At 38.3% G+C, this 16431-nt stretch overlaps 1 pseudogene; it reads left to right on the forward strand.

Moving 5' to 3' along the window:
* Positions 8975–9478, forward strand: HMGN2P39 (high mobility group nucleosomal binding domain 2 pseudogene 39; annotated as a pseudogene).

Genomic DNA, 16431 nt, shown 5'->3' on the forward strand with positions numbered 1-16431 from the left:
TGTTTCACAATCATGGGCGTGACATCCATCATGTTTGTTGTATTCTTTTGATTAGAGGTGAAGACAATAAGGATATGCTACTCCAAAATATGCCAATTTGGCATAAGAATTATTTTGAGTTCTTGAAATCTATTATCTCTTTAAAAGCCTAGCTTCCCAAAAGAACTAAAAAGAACTAAGTTGTCATAAATCCCTTCCCTGGGGGCAACTTTATTCTTCTTGGACACCACATCCAGACAGACATTGTCACAAACTAACACATTCCCATGTAATTTCTTGAGAGCCCAAATACTCACTTGCTTTTCCATAAGTGCTCTTTCATCTCCTCTTTCCCCTAGGAAGTTAGGTATATCAACCTCAAATTCTAACCACTCCTTTGGTGGGTAGGGGTTCAGAAATTTCCAGAGCTGAGTTCAAGTCCTGAATATCCTTGTGAATTTTCTGTCTCATTGATCTGTCTAATATTGACAGTGGGGTGATAAAGTCTCCAACTATTATTGTGTGGGAGTATAAGTCTCTTTGCAGGTCTCTAAGAGCTTGCTGTATAAATCTGGGTGCTCCTGTATTGGGTGCATATATATTTAGGATAGTTAGCTCTTCTTGTTGCATTGATCCCTTTACCATTATGTAATGCCCTTCTTTGTCTTTTTTGATCTTTCTGGTTTGAAGTCTGTTTTATCAGAGACTAGGATTGCAACCCTGCTTTTTTTTTTTTTTTTTTTTTTTTGGCTTTGCATTTGCTTGGTAAATATTCCTTCATCCCTTTATTTTGAGCCTATGTGTGGTTTTTTTTTTTTGCTTGTTTGTTTGTTTTTGAGACAGAGTCTTGCTCTGCCACCCCGGCTGGAGTGCAGTGGTGCGATCTCGGCTCACTGCAAGCTCTGCCTCCCAGGTTCATGCCATTCTCCTGCCTCAGCCTCCCGAGTAGCTGGGACTACAGGCGCCCGCCACCACACCCAGCTAATTTTTTGTATTTTTAGTAGAGACGGGGTTTCACCGTGTTAGCCAGGATGGTCTCGATCTCCTGATCTTGTGATCCGCCCACCTTGGCTTCCCAAAGTGCTGGGATTACAGGCGTAAGCCACCACACCTGGCTGAGCCTATATGTGTTTTTGCAGTGGCTGGTACTGGTTTTTTCTTTCCATATTTAGTGCTTCCTTCAGGAGCTCTTGTAAGGCAGGCCTGGTGGTTATGAAATCTCTCAGCATTTGCTTGTCTGTAAAGAATTTTATTTCTCCTTCGCTTATGAAGCTTAGTTTGGCTGGATATGAAATTCTGGATTGAAAATTCTTTTCTTTAAGAATGTTGAATATTGGCCTCCACTCTCTTCTGGCTTGTAGGGTTTCTGCAGAGAGATCCGTCAGTTCATCAAATTCATTCTCTGTCCAGTTTTGTTTTAGTCTGTTGGGCTTCCCTTTGTGGGTAATCCGACCTTTCTCTCTGGCTGCCCTTAACATTTTTTCCTTCATTTCAACCTTGGTGAATTTGACAATTATGTGTCTTGGGGTTGCTCTTCTCGAGGAGTATTCCTTGTGGTGTTCTCCATATTTCCTGAATTTGAATGTTGGCCTGTCTTGCTAGGTTGGGGAAGTTTTCCTGGATAATATCCTGAAGAATGTTTTCCAACTGGGTTCCATTCTCCCCATCACTTTCAGGAACACCGATTAAATGTAAACTTGGTCTTTTCACATAGTCCCATATTTCTTGGAGGCTTTGTTTGTTCCTTTTCATTCTTTTTTCTCTAATCTTGTCTTCACACTTTATTTCATTAAGTTCATCTTCAATCTCTGATATCCTTTCCTCCGCTTGTTGATTGAGCTATTGATACTCGTGTATGGTTCACGAAGTTCTCATGATGGAGCTGTGTTTTTCAGCTCCATCAGGTCATTTATGTTCTTCTCTAAACTGATTATTCTAGTTAGCAATTCCTCTAACCTTTTTTCAAGGTTCTTAGCTTCCTTGCATTGAGTTAGAACACGCTCCTTTAGCTTGAAGGAGTTTGTTATTACCCACCTTCTGAAGCCTACTTCTGTCAATTCATCAAACTCATTCTCTGTCCAGTTTTGTTCCCTTGCTGGCTGGAAGTTGTGATCCTTTGTAGGAGAAGAGGCGTTCTGGTTTTTGGAATGTTCAGCCTTTTTTCCCTGTTTTTTTCTCATCTTCGTGGATTTATCTGCCTTTGGTCTTTGATGCTGGTGACCTTCGGATGCAATTTCTGAGTGGATGTCCTTTTTGTTGATGTTGATACTATTCCTTTCTGTTTGTTTGTTTTTCTTCAAACAGTCAGGCCCTTCTGCTGCAGGTCTGCTAGTGTTTGCTGGAGGTCCACTGCAGACCCTGTTTGCCTGGGTATCACCAGCAGAGGCTGCAGAACAGCAAAATTGCTGTCTGTTTCTTCCCAGAGGGGCACCCACCAGATGCCAGCCAGAGCTCTCCTGTATGAGCTGTCTGTGGACCCCTGCTGGGAGGTGTCTCCCAGTCAGGAGGCATCTCCCAGTCAGGAGGCACGGAGATCAGGGACCCACTTGAGGAGGCAGTCTGTCCCTTAGCAGAGCTCAAGCACTGTGCTGGGAGATCTACTGCTCTCTTCAGAGCTGGCAGGCAGGAACATTTAAGTCTGCTGAAGCTGCGCCCACAGCTGCCCCTTCCCCCAGGTGCTCTGTTCCCAGGGAGTTGGGGGTTTTATCTGTAAGCCCCTGACTGGGGCTGCTGCCTTGCCTTCAGAGATGCCCTGCTCAGAGAGGAGAAATCCAGAGAGGCAGCCTGGCCACAGTGGCTTTGTGGAGCTGCAGTGGGCTCCACCCACTTCAAACTCCCTGGCAGAAATTTCCTTTTTAAAAATTTTTTGAGGCAGGGTCATGCTCTGTCTTCCAGGCTGGAGTGTGGTGATGTGATCATGGCTCACTGCAGCCTCAATCTCCTGGACTCAAACAATCCTCCCAAATCGGCCTCCCAAGTATCTGGGACTACAGGTGTGCACCACCATGCCTGGCTGATTTTTTTAGTTTTTGTAGAGTTTCTCACTTCTGAGTACTCCTATGTGTCTGCAGGATGCACATATAAATAAACTTCTTTTTTTCTCTTGTTAATGTATTTTTGTCATCCTAATTTAAAGGGTCCCAGCTGGATAACCTAGGAGGAGATAGGGAAGCTTCCTCGACAAGTCACCACCACACTTAATGGGGAGAGCAGATTACTCAAAGGCACAAATGTGAACAGGTAGGGATGTGGTTCCTCACACTGTTCCCTCTTCACTGGAGCATCCTTGGTATATAGAGTTGCTCAAGAACAAAGCATATCTGTGACAAGTGTTACAGGTGAGGGTTTCTGTCTCAGTGATCATTAAGTTAAGGCTAAAACAACAGTTAATTTTCCCTTCCAGGAAATCCTAATATGTGTGGTAAGTGTCTGTAGACAGGCAGTTCAGTGATTCAGTGATACCTTCTTTTTCCTCCTTAGTTTCAGCTGATCCTGAGGAGTGCAGAAGAAAGTGCCTTCAGGTCTCCCCAGAGTAAATTTCGTGAAAAACAGGTAGTCAGTAATTGCAGACAGACTACACAAAATATATTATCAAAGTCAGGTGGCAATCTATCCACCCTTTCTGTGTATTGGGATTACAAATCTATGTTGTTTAAGGAAATAATGCGATTTTTAGAGGTTTTTTTTTTCCCAAAGAGCCAATTTTTTTCATACCACCTACAAAATAGCCTATCTCTTTATTACTTATTTACTCACTTACTCATTTATTCATTCATTGATTTAATAAATACTCTTGAGTTACCAGGAATAATTTGTTCAGCCTCTTTGTCAGAAGCTATGAATACAGTGGTGAATGAGATATGATTCCTGCCTCAAAAAGATTAGAATGCATTGGAGAAAACACATTAGAAAAACCTAAACAAACATCTAAAATAGTAATTAATCATATGACAATAGGAGATACAAAGCAAACTAACAGAATTCTGTATTGTATCATAAAATAATAAGGCGAGTTTTATTTCATTAGTGCATCCCAAGCAAAGAGGCTTACGTTGTAAGTGTCCAGGTATCTGCCCGAAAAGCTTCTCAAGATTTTAAGCAATGTGTACAAGCAATAACAGGAATTATCTTTTGAGCAAACTATCCCTTATCAGAAATCCCTTATCTTTCTCCATTTTTTTCTAGTAGAAAACATCAAGGGTTTTTGCGCCCACTCCCTTACACACACACACACACACACACACACACACATTTTAATCTGGCATATGGTATTCCAAAACATAATTGAACAATTGTTGCTTAATGATTCAGCAATATTACTCAAGATATGTTCCCAGAAAATTCTTAATAATTCTATTTGATAGTAGAAGCACAGGTAGAATCAAAATTATATGAGCAGTAAGGAATATAGGGAGGTCAAGTGTTTTTCTAAGAGCATTTTGTCCCATTATAATCCTACACATTAATTGGGAAAGAAAAGGACTCTTTCCATTATTCAGCCTTTACATTCAGAAACATGGTATAGCTCTCCATGTAGCTAAATATTTCATTTTTTCTCAGTAAAGTTTTATCAAGTTCTCCCTATAGGTCTTACCCATTTTCTTTTTAGGGTTATTTTAAATTATACATAAGTGTTTTGGTTGCTACTGACTGTAAACAATGATTGCCATTATGTCTTCTAATGGTTGCCACTGGTTTGAAATGTAATTGATTTTTGCGCATTTATTTTATATCTGACCATTACTAATTCCGTTAAGTTTTGACAGTCGCTTGAATGGAAATGACATTCACAAAAGATATGTCAAGGCTCACAACACTAGTTTTGAGCTCCATTTTTACTAACTAGTTATTTCAGAAACTATTTTTAATTTCTAAATGGTTAACTTTGTTTAAAGTCTTAGTATTACTTTTAGCTTTATAGAATGTAGCATACTTAGACTATTGAGACAAGTACAAAGATTTTTTTAAGAACAAGAATACATTTTATAAATGCCCCTTGAGACTTTGAACATCTTTCTTTTTATTCTTCCTCTTCTGTCTTTTTTGGCATGGTACAGTTTTTATTAAAGTTTCAGGAATATGGAAGGTATACAATTTTAAATTTTCAAAATTATAATTTTATTTGCATATTTTGTCAATGGCAAAACTGAGATGGCTTTTTTGTTCCATTCCTTTTTACAGTTCTTCCTACCCCTTTCACTGCTTCCTGTCTATATCACTGTAATTTAGTAAAAAAATTTATTTTAAAAATATTGATACACAATTATAATATATATAAAATCATTTAGATGAGTATTTAATGACAGTACTATGTATTGCAAGTCTTTTTCCATTATGATTCTCTATTTTGAGCTTTTAATTTAGTTTCCTCTCTTAGACTCGAAAAGGCTGTGTACTGTATAATTTTTTCAGTCTTTGCATAGGTGATTTTCTTTGCACAAGAAATGAGAGAGTAGAGCATACAATTATTTAGCTACAATAAATAAAAGACTCTAGTATTTTGTTAATAAAAATGTTCAAGTATTTACAAGCCCACATTGAAGATACATATTGTACAGTGTATAGTGTACTTATAATTGTTAGGCTTAATTGGGTTAAGTATAAATATCTAAGAATAGAAAGAAGCAGTGGAAAAGTTTCTTTTAAATACTGAATATTGTATAAAATCTATAAAGGTCTAGGGATGTCCTTGACTAGAGACTTTTATGAGGAAGAAATGAAGCATTGAACCGACTAAGTCTTCCCCTCATGTTCTTCTGAGTAAAAACACCTGTGGTTTCATCTGCTAACTCTTTGCTCAGGGTGATAGGTGAATACAAGCTTTCTTCTTTCTGTGCTTAAATATCTCTAGAAACTTAAAGGCCATCTGTACCCTAAAGTTAGGTCATGCACAAGTGAAAACTCTCCTGCCATGTAGCCCCACCCACTGCCCAGGTACCTAATGCCATGCTTTCATTCCTGTCTGGCTTTGTTCCCTTGGTGCTGGGTACACAGTTCCGCCTCTATGATTTAGGCCACTCTGGAACTTGTCACTGGCAAAGACTCTTTATAGTTGCAATTACTACTTCTCTCTACAATTATACCCTGTAAGAGGTCAAGTTGAATATATCAGGGGCCTTATACACACTGCCTACCTACATCTTAACTCATGTAAATCCCAGATGTTGCACTTTAGCAGAGCACTTCTTTGGGGAATATTCTGGTTGTTATTTTCACTTTCTTAGCAACGAGGTAATCTAAGGAGGTATTTTTCCTTTCATTTCACTTCTATGTCTGTTCTGGTTTGTTCTGCAATGGTAACAGGTGAAACAATCTGGGGAAATGTGTCTTTGATGATAGGACTCGTCTCTGAGCCACTTTTAGGGCTCAAAAACAGTTTGCAGAAAGGTGGAGTTTCTGGAGGAGGAATGAAGTAGGGAAGCTTTTTCTTTCTCAAGACGTACTTTCTTTTGTATGTTGTCACTGCTCTTCCTCCTCTCCATGTTACTATTTAGATGGGTCCAGTGCTCATTTCCACTCAGGAGGATCTCTCTTATGCGGAACACTTAGCTCTTAGAAGGTAAAATAAAGAGTAAGAAGCCATGGTATGGGTGGCTTAAGTGAGTTCTGTGTAAGAATTGGATTCGAGTGGCCAGTGTAATACAGGGCAACCAGTTCCATTTCAATTTCAGATAATCAGTGAATACTTTTTTTCAGCATAAGTATGTCCCAATTATTGCTGGGTATACACTCACACTAAAAAGTATTCTTTTTTAAATCTGGAATTCAAATTTAACTAGGTGTTCTGTATCATATTTTTATTTTCTAAAACTGCCAATCTTAGATTGTACTAATGGTCAAGACTGACATGTTGCTCATCCTAGATTACAATGATAGAAAATGTTATAATTAAAACCAATTTCCAAACTCAGGATAAAGATTTTGTATTTACAATTGCATTATATAACCCATTTAAAGATACACAGGATTCAGGGAGGTAGGGAAATGGAGGTGAAATTTATAACAGCTGTGTAATTTGAAAAATTGGGGATTTGTTTGGTTGGTGAGTAATTAATGATTTTTATGAGAATGTTGGTTTTGATTAATAGGAGTTTTATTTGTTATAAGTAAGGAGAGTAATGGCAGCATTTTTAAAGTAGTGTTTTAATGAGGGAAACTGATAGAAGGTTTTTATGGGGTGATGGAGAGGGGAGGAGGTGAGTTATTAAATGCAGAGGAGGGACTTTGGTAGTGTAGATGTAGTGAATTATGTCGGTACATAGGTTGTATGTTATGGTAATAAAGTTATAGTTTTGGGGGGAGTGGAGACTTTAATATAGTAAGGAGGAATGTTTCTTTGTATTTATTTATAAGTTGTTGGGGTTTGTCAGAAGTTGGTTTTAGTTGACGAAGTGACCGTGTTTTATATAGAGTTAGGAAGAAAAACAGGCTGTAACGCAGGAGACTGTAGTGCCTAGAGACCCTCCCCATCTGCTTACACTTGGAGAAGGTTTGGAAATTTAAAATCCAGAGGAAATTTCAATACCAGAAGATATTACTAATAATCACCTTCTTGCCCTGATTTCACTTTAGAAAATCAATCTTGCCAATGGGAGGAATTAAGCATAAAAGTATCTGTTATCACACAACCCCCATAAGCCTCAGAACATAACCTATAATGTATGCTAACACCATTTTGGCAGAATTAGCAAATGGTATTTAGTTTTTAATAGAAAATGTTTGAGGAAAATAGAAACAAATTTTTCAGTGCAAGACATGAAGTTATAGCATTCTATCTCTGCTTCTGAAGTGTCTTTCATCGCACCCTTTTTAACTAGACAATTTCTTATCACTCAAATCTCACATCACCTACTACAGAGAGCCCTCTATGGATCACCTCCCTCTCCCATGGAGAATTCTTTGAGGACAAGGATCATTACTTATTCAGCTCTGTATCCCTAGAACCTAGTGAGAGGTGAAGCCAACTGGGCTTCTGGGTTGGGTGGGGACTTGGAGAACTTTTGTGTCTAGCTAAAGGATTGTAAATGCCCCAATCAGCACTCTGTAAAATGGACCAATCAGCGGGATGTGGGTGGGGCCAAATAAGGGACTAAAAGTTGGCCACAGGAGCCAGCAGCCGCAACCTGCTCGGGTACCCTTCCACGTTATGCAAGCTTTGTTCTTATGCTCTTCACAATAAATCTTGTTGCTGATCACTCTTTGGGTCTGCACCACCTTTAAGAGCTGTAACACTTACTGCGAAGGTCTGTGGCTTCGCTCTTGAAGTCAGCGAGACTACGAACCCACCGGAAGGAAAAAACTCCAGACACATCCGAACATCTGAAGAAACAAACTCTGGACACAACATCTTTAAGAACTGTAACACCGTGAGGGTCCACGGCTTCATTCTTGAAGTCAGCGAGATCAAGAACCCACCAAAAGAAACCAATTCTGGACACATTAAGAACCAGAGAAGCTCAAGAAATATTTGTTGAGTGAATGAAGAAGTGAAATCTGCAATAAAATTGCATGGAAACAGTAACCACTAAGCAGATTTTGAAATGAGAGCTGTAGAACAATCTAAAATGCGCAATTGCAAATCTTTAAAACGATATTGGAAAATCATTAAACTAAGATAGGAGTTAATAGGAATTAAGAGCATGAGAATCTTTGAGCCCCATGTTAGAAAAGTGATGTTCAGTATTTAACCTTAATGTGCTTAAGTTTTAATTAGACATTTCATGTACTTCCTTCTTGACCAGGCCCCATTCTTTGGAACAGAGGACATTCAGCACGGGTAGATATTTATAAAATAAATTTTCCCTATTTTCTAATAAAATAAATAAATTGAACCATAATCACATTGTGTTATTGAGGTCTCATCTAAATTTGTATGATCAGATATAGTGAGTGGCAATAAAAAGTGCCACTACATTTTAGAAAATGAAACATTTTTTAAAAATCCCTCTTCACTGCCCCACTTCACTTGACTAGCCTAAAAATAATAATCATGAAATATTAAAAATAAATGAATAGGAGCAGCAGGAAGAAGAAGAGGTGAGAACAACCCCCAGACCAACCAAAGCCCACTGTGCAGCTGCATCCCACGTCTAATCTGTACGTCCCACCACCATTGCCACCATGGCCAAGAAAAAGGCTGAAAGGGATGCTGAAGGGAGATTAAAGCCAAGGTGAAGGAAGAACCACAGAGGAATCACAAAGCTGTCTGCTAAACCTGCTCCTCCAAAGCCAGAGCCCAAGCCTAAAAAGGCTCTTGCAAAGAACGGAGAGGAGCCACCTAAAGGGAAAAAGGGAAAAGCTGACACTGGCAAGAAGGGAGATAACCCTGCAGAACATGGAGATGCTAACGCAGACCAGGCACGGAAAGCTGAAGGTGCTGGAGATGCCACATGAAGTGTGTGCATTTTTGGTAACTGTGTGCTTCTGATGACTGTACAGTTTGAAATACTATTTTTTATCAAGTTTTATTAAAACACAGAATTTTGTTTACTTTTCTGTTAAGCTTTGTGATGTGGTTTTGCCGTGTCCCTATCCAAAATCTCATCTTGAATCGTAGTCCCCATAATCCCTACGTGTCAAGGGCAGGACCAGGTAGAGGTAATTGGATCATGGGGACGGTTTCTTCCATGCTGTTCTCCTAATAGTAAGTGAGTCTCAGGAGGGCTAATGGTTTTATAAGGGTCTGGAATTTCCCCTGCTTGCACTCAATCCGTCCTGCCACCCTGTGAAGAAGGTGCCTGCTTCTGCTGTGCCTTCTGCCATGATTGTAAGTTTCCTGAGGCCTCCCCAGCCATGTGGAACTGTGAGTCAGTTAAATCTCTTTCCTTTATAAATTTTCCAGTCTGGAGTATTTCTTCAAAGCGGTGTGAGAACTGACTAATACACTATGTTAGCACACACAACACTTTACTGTTTTTTGGGGGAGGGGCAAATGTCACTAATAGAATGTTTCTGAAGCTGGATTAATATGGGGAAAATCCCTTTCCCCTCTAGCTCTGAGAGACTTTTCTTGGCTCCCAGGAGAAGGGATTCCCTTCTACTTGACTTTGACCACACGCAGCCACCTTGGCACAAATGCCTTGTGGTATGGAAAAACAAATTCTTTTCATGTCCTCTTCTCCCTTTCCACCTTCAGCAAAGACTTAACTCATTTAAACCCAGACACCTGTTGGGACCCGACCTCCAATAATTGATTACCAGGGTGCCAGGCAATCTGGACTTTCTGGTGCTGCCACTGAGATGGTGCCCCTCAAAAATCAGTGGTTCTGTTTCTAGATTGTGGATCTTCACATGAATTCTGCCATTTTTATTTCACTTCCTAAAAGTCAGCGTCGACTTGTGAAAAGTTGTAAACAACATGCTAAATGTGAAATGTCAACCCTCACTCTAAATTTTCCCTGTTCAGAGCATCAAATGGAGACTTCATTGGGTTTTATAGTGGCTTTCTGATTTTTGGTAGTCCGTTGAAGAAGGAAGTTTAAAAGTTGTATACTATTAAGGATTGTTTGCCCATGTCCTGCCTGAAATATCATGACTGTTTATGGAAAGTATCTTTAATAAAGCTGGATACTGTTTGACTTGAATAAGTTAATAAATAAATACATTAATTACATAAAATCTGAAAATATTCTTACCCTTAAACATGGGAATTATATTTCTAGATTAATTCAAGTATAAAACGATTTTTATCGACAAAGAGGTATATTGATTCATTATATATTGCAACATGGGACAGGAGACAATCTAGCTATCCAGCAATCAGAAAATGGTTAAATAAGTTACAATACCTACGTTCAACTAGAAATTATTTAGCTCCTTAAAATATTGTTTAGAAAAACATTACTCACAAACCATTTATAATACTTCATTGTAAAATTAAATATAATCAAAATATAATTGAAACAAAAAGATTATTAGGAAAAGTAATTGGAGAAAGTAGAACAAAAATAACATTTTCAAAAAAATGGTTATTCGACACTTTTTATGTGCCAGACAATTTTCTAAGTATTTTAAATAAGTTAACTCATTTAAGCCTCATAACAACCCTATGGAATAAGTACCATTATTATTGACAGTTTTACAAATAAGGATGTAAGAAACAAAGATGTTAAGTAACTTGCATAAAGTCACACTTTAAAATCAGTAGAAGAGAAAATATTCAAACAGAGGCTACCAATAGCACAGTTATAAGTATGCATCCATGTTGGCATTTATCACCTTTTAAAATTTTTCTTTATGTTGTGTCATATTGTATATGAAATTATTGTATATATAATTTCATTATTCATTACTTAATATTTTCAGCAAATAATATTTAATTGAGCAGGACTTTGAGACATTAAGATGAACTGTGCTGTTTCATCTGAACTTGAAATTTTTTTAGTTCTGCCTTACGAAAAAGCCTTTTTATACCCTGATATCTGAATATTTAGCAGTGAGGTCCACCATTGATATTAAATTCTTCTCGATGGCAAATAGCATACCAGGATATAATTTAATTGCAATCCTGGAAGGTAACAGAAAAAGATGAGATCACACAGGCCATTAGTCTCGAGGCATAGGTGGAGATCAGTCAAGTGAAAAGGAAGCAGGTGTCTAAGTTAGATGGCAAGAGACACAATTAGTAGTTCCCCGGATTTGCACAGGAGCCTCCTGAGGCTCACGTAACCGCTTCCCAGCAGGCGTGCAGTCTGACACCTGAAATGGCAAGCTGAGCTAAGAAACCTCAGGATAGCAGTCACCTAGCTGGAAACAGGGTTGCTGCCGGAGGGAGGAGAGGGGTATGTGGCAATGCTCCCGCAAATCCCTAAAGAGCGCTGCTCCATTTCCCTGGGCCACAGTCTCTGCAAGGTGTGCTGTAAACACGCCCTGGAAATGCATCCGTTCTACAGTTATTTCCATCCTAGCGTAGCACTCCTGTAGCCTTGTTTCAAGGCTTGTTTCAAGGCTGCAGAAGTGCTACGCTAGGATGGAAATAACTGTAGAATGGATGCATTTTGTTCTACAGGTTCAAAATGCTCATACTTAAGTACAATCTAGGGACACTTTATTCTAGAACCTGTGTGACTGAAATTATAAATGTGAACACTCCCTTATATGATTCACTTTTTTAAAAAAAATTTCATTGTTGTCTTTTGTACTTTGGCATTATCCAGTCAAAATTAATAACAACAAAAAGCTAAGGTATTATTTTTTTCAAGATGAACAGATCTTATAATCTCATTCTCGATAAAAATAACTTTAATGTGTTGAATCAGGTGAGATATCTAGATATCTAGCTTTCTAGTGTTATTCACATGTTTTAGAAGCATGTCTACCTCCATCTCTGTTCCTTTAAGTATGAATATTATCAACAAGAAAGGATATCTGAACAACGGCACTACAAGTAAAGTGATAGAACTTAGTTTATATATTCAAGTCCTAGGCTAAGTGCTTTCACAAGTATTAACATGTGAGAAGAAAATATTCCTCTTGGAAGTGATTGCCACATCATATCCTCTAACGAACAACTTTCTGTCACCTGATATTTTCTTATCATAAATAATATGCATGCATTGCCAAACACTGTAATCTGATTTTCTCTAGGTAACAGCTTGAAACAATGCAATACAACTCTGCTTTTTCTTTTACTAAATAATCGACTTAGCAAGTGTTACAGGACCAGTATTGAGATTCCTCTTCTGGACCATTATAATTTCAAATATTATGCTTCTCCATCTCCACCCATTAGATAGGTATATTGCAATACATGGGAAAAAAAGGTATAGCTATAGATATGTCTCCAAGGACAAATGCTTTGTGTTTTATATGCTTAAACAGATTTTAGGATTGTAAACCCTTTTCAAGTGCCATGTTGCTGTAGAAATTAGTTATAATCTGACAATATTTGTTCACAGTAATGCCCTGTACAAACATATATTGGGGTTGGGTGTTCTAAATTATATTAGTACTAAATCTTTATGAAGACAACTGCTACAACATAATCCCTCTGTCTTCTGGATAAACTGTTGTCAACACTGTGTACACTTGGCTACATTTTCAATGTGTATCAATTGTGGATTTGAATAAACTAGGCTCCTCTATAAATGTTCAGTCCTTACAAAGTTAGCATCTTTATCTGAGTTTATTTATCAAATTGACTGCAGTATTAGTACAAGGGAATACTGCTATAGATACTTAGGATGAATGTCATGTCTTTCTTAATGACATTTCCTGATTAATGTTTAACATAATGCGCTAACAGAGCTTGCACGTGGAGAGCAGGGCATCAGAATGCTTAAATACAAGGCCCACAGTTGCTAACTAAAAGTCACGAGCCCTGGATAAGTCATTTAACTATTCTAGAATCAGTTTGTTAGGGTCTAAACTATCTCGGAGCCCTCAAATCTGATCAGCCTATGTATGTCTTCTAAGACAAGCCATAGGTTTCTATTATTTATCCAGTAAACAATTTTTTAACCTCTATTACTCTTCAAACAATGTAGGATGTATAGCATTGCACAAATTTCTTTCACAGATATTACCATGTAGATGCCAAATCATACAAAATGCAAGAAATTATTAAGGACTGTAATCAGCATCACAGGAAAGATGAAACATTTTCTGGAATTTCAAAGAAAGGAAAGCACACTACATCCCATAGTCAACAAATAATAAAGATCTACCAGATGACAGGCAATGTGTTCAAGCCTTGCGTTTCATAGATAAAAAGCAGGCCTGCTCCTAACATTTGTGAGGCACAAAGCAAGAGTATAGCTGGAGGCCTGCATGTCACATGTCTTTATATTTAGAAATTAGACTAACAAACTATTATACCAAGTATGTACTATCATCCTACTATAATGAGCCTAATTTTACAATGACCTCAAAGAGCAAATAAAAATTAAAATTCTCAGACTTTTCAGACTTCCTTACCCCTGGCTCTGCCCCTACTGCTCCATCCTCTCCCTTTATTTTCCCACCTCTTATTCCTAATCATAACATAAGGGTCCTCACATGCACTCGTGTGGACACTCCAGGCCTGTGTGTCCAAGCTCCTTCAGTAAAAGAAAAAACTACCATTGAAGAGCTGAGGAGAATCGTAACAGATAACATTAAAATCATACCATGTGGAAAAAAATATTAAAACCCTGTAGAAGGAAGTTTCTGGGGTTGATTGCAGAATGTGGAATTGCTCAGTTTGGTTAGAGTTTCAAAAAGAGAAAAACATTAATGCTAAACCCGTAAAAATAAGCCTAGATCATGTTGTCGAAAGCTAGAAAGTTTGAACTTTATTTGGTAGGCAAAGAAGAGGGATTTGAAGGTTATTGAGCAGGGGTGACATAATCAAAGCTGTACTTTAGGAAGATTAATTTGGCAGCCGAATGCAGAATGAGTAGATTAGAAGCAAGACTGGAGGCAGGGAGAAGAGTTATAGCAGTAGTTTAGGTAAGCAGTAATAAGACTGTTAACTAGGGCTAGGGTAATGTACAAGAAGAAAGGGTGGTGTGAGACAGTAGGGAGAAGGAATTGACAGCCCCTGATGAATCACTGGTAATAGGGGAAAGGAGAGAGACAAATCAAAGAGCACTCAGAGGTCTTGAGCTTCTGTGACTAAAAAAGAATATTGGAAGCCATCAGCAAAAAGTCAGGAGGAGGAGCCAAACTGGGGTGAAAATGGTGAGTGGCATTGATGTGTGTTGTGTTAACAACATTAGCAAATCTCCACCCAGGTGAAAATGGCATTGAGACTATTAATGCAAATCTGGAACATGGGAGAATCATCAGGAAATCTCATAAAGAGGTGAAACTCTTAAGTCTGACTTGTTTGAAATTAGTTGTGGAAGCTATTCTTTATGCAATCTCAATGTCTACAGGTTTTCAACATTTTCTCTGGCTCATAGGTTAGTTCCTTGGATTTTCAGGTTGCTAAAAATATATGTGTATTCTGAACAGTTATTTGCAAACTCTGGACCAGTTAATTCACTTTGGCAAGTTCTACCTTATAATCGATCGTACTGTGGTCTGCTTTATCAGGATTTGGTGATAACAGTTCACATTTTTTTTCCTGCCACAAATCATTTCCCAATATCAGAACATTCAGTTTTGAGAATTTTGACTTTGTCCAGATTTAGACTTTATGCATTTATCTAACTTAATGCTTACAAACAGTGAGTCAGCCTTTGGGCTGACAGATCTCTCAAACCTACTGCGAGGTGCCAGAAGCTCTTATGGCTCTCAAGTGACACATCCATTTGTTGATTACAAAAGTCGTTGCCTTTTGTTCTCACTCATACTAGCTACTAAGATACAAACACCCAGACATGCACATCCACGCATACACACAGAGAAGCACATGCACACACAGAACTCACAATCTCAAGCAACAATAAAGATGACTTAATTGAGTTAATGCCTTTACTCCTGTGTTCTCAATAACATTACCCAATAACTCCTCTTCAGTTGTCCCTGATGCACCCAAATATTTCAGTCATTGTTGAAGATCTCAGGATGGCTGCCATTTATGCCAGGATGGAGAAAGAAGCCTTATTACAGTGAGAAAATCTCAAATCTCAGTCTTTGGGCAAACGGAAACAGAAACCAGCAATTGGGCTGCACACATTTCCCAGGAGGGACAAAGTCTATGTAAGGTCATTTTTGGTCTCTGCTTGCCTCCACTTTAGGAAAAATGCCGCTGCCAAACCCTTTGACTCTATCAATGCCTCAGCTTTCAGAGTTGATAGCTAAACCTATATCTCTAATTATCTTTTTATAAGTCTCCTCTTTCACATGTATCTCCAACCCAGGCAGCATGGTGAAACATACAGTTCATAATAAGGGAATGTGGACTCCCTTGAGCATTTCAGGGTGAAGGCGCACTGTGGGTGTTAAAAGGGAAAATATTTAAAGATCAGTGGTGGTTTTCTGCTAACAGAAGTGTCAAGTTTTTAAAGGGGACATGTGGCACTAATAAAAGAGCATTTCATGAATAAAATAAGACAGACAAAACCAAAAATAGAAATAATATCTATAACATGCTATATAATGACTTTTGCATTGGCCAATTACCTATTGCCTCCCACAGCAAACAAAATCTGAAAAAGAGCAGACATAGATACACAATCTCCCATTTTTGCTGGAAAAAATGCTCTTTTCATCAGAACTTTGGCCTACTTCTTATATATCTTGCCAATGTTTGCTTGATCATTCGTTTATTCCTTGAATAAATTCCCAGTCAAGCCTAGTTCTCCTTACCTGGCCTTCACCTGTTAAAGCCCTGGACAGACTGACTCTATTTGCTTCTCTAACTTTCATAACTTTTCAGGATGCTCTTGACCCTGAGTCATAAATATACATACGTGTAACTTAAGAGTTATTTATAGGCCAGCAGTCATCAAAGGGACAAATATGCATGTTCCCAAAGTATATGTAACTACTTCGAAAAAGTAAAGAGGCCTTAAAACTAAATTTCTT

This window comes from Homo sapiens, chromosome 13, assembly GCF_000001405.40.
Source record: "Homo sapiens chromosome 13, GRCh38.p14 Primary Assembly".
Lineage (NCBI taxonomy): Eukaryota > Metazoa > Chordata > Mammalia > Primates > Hominidae > Homo > Homo sapiens.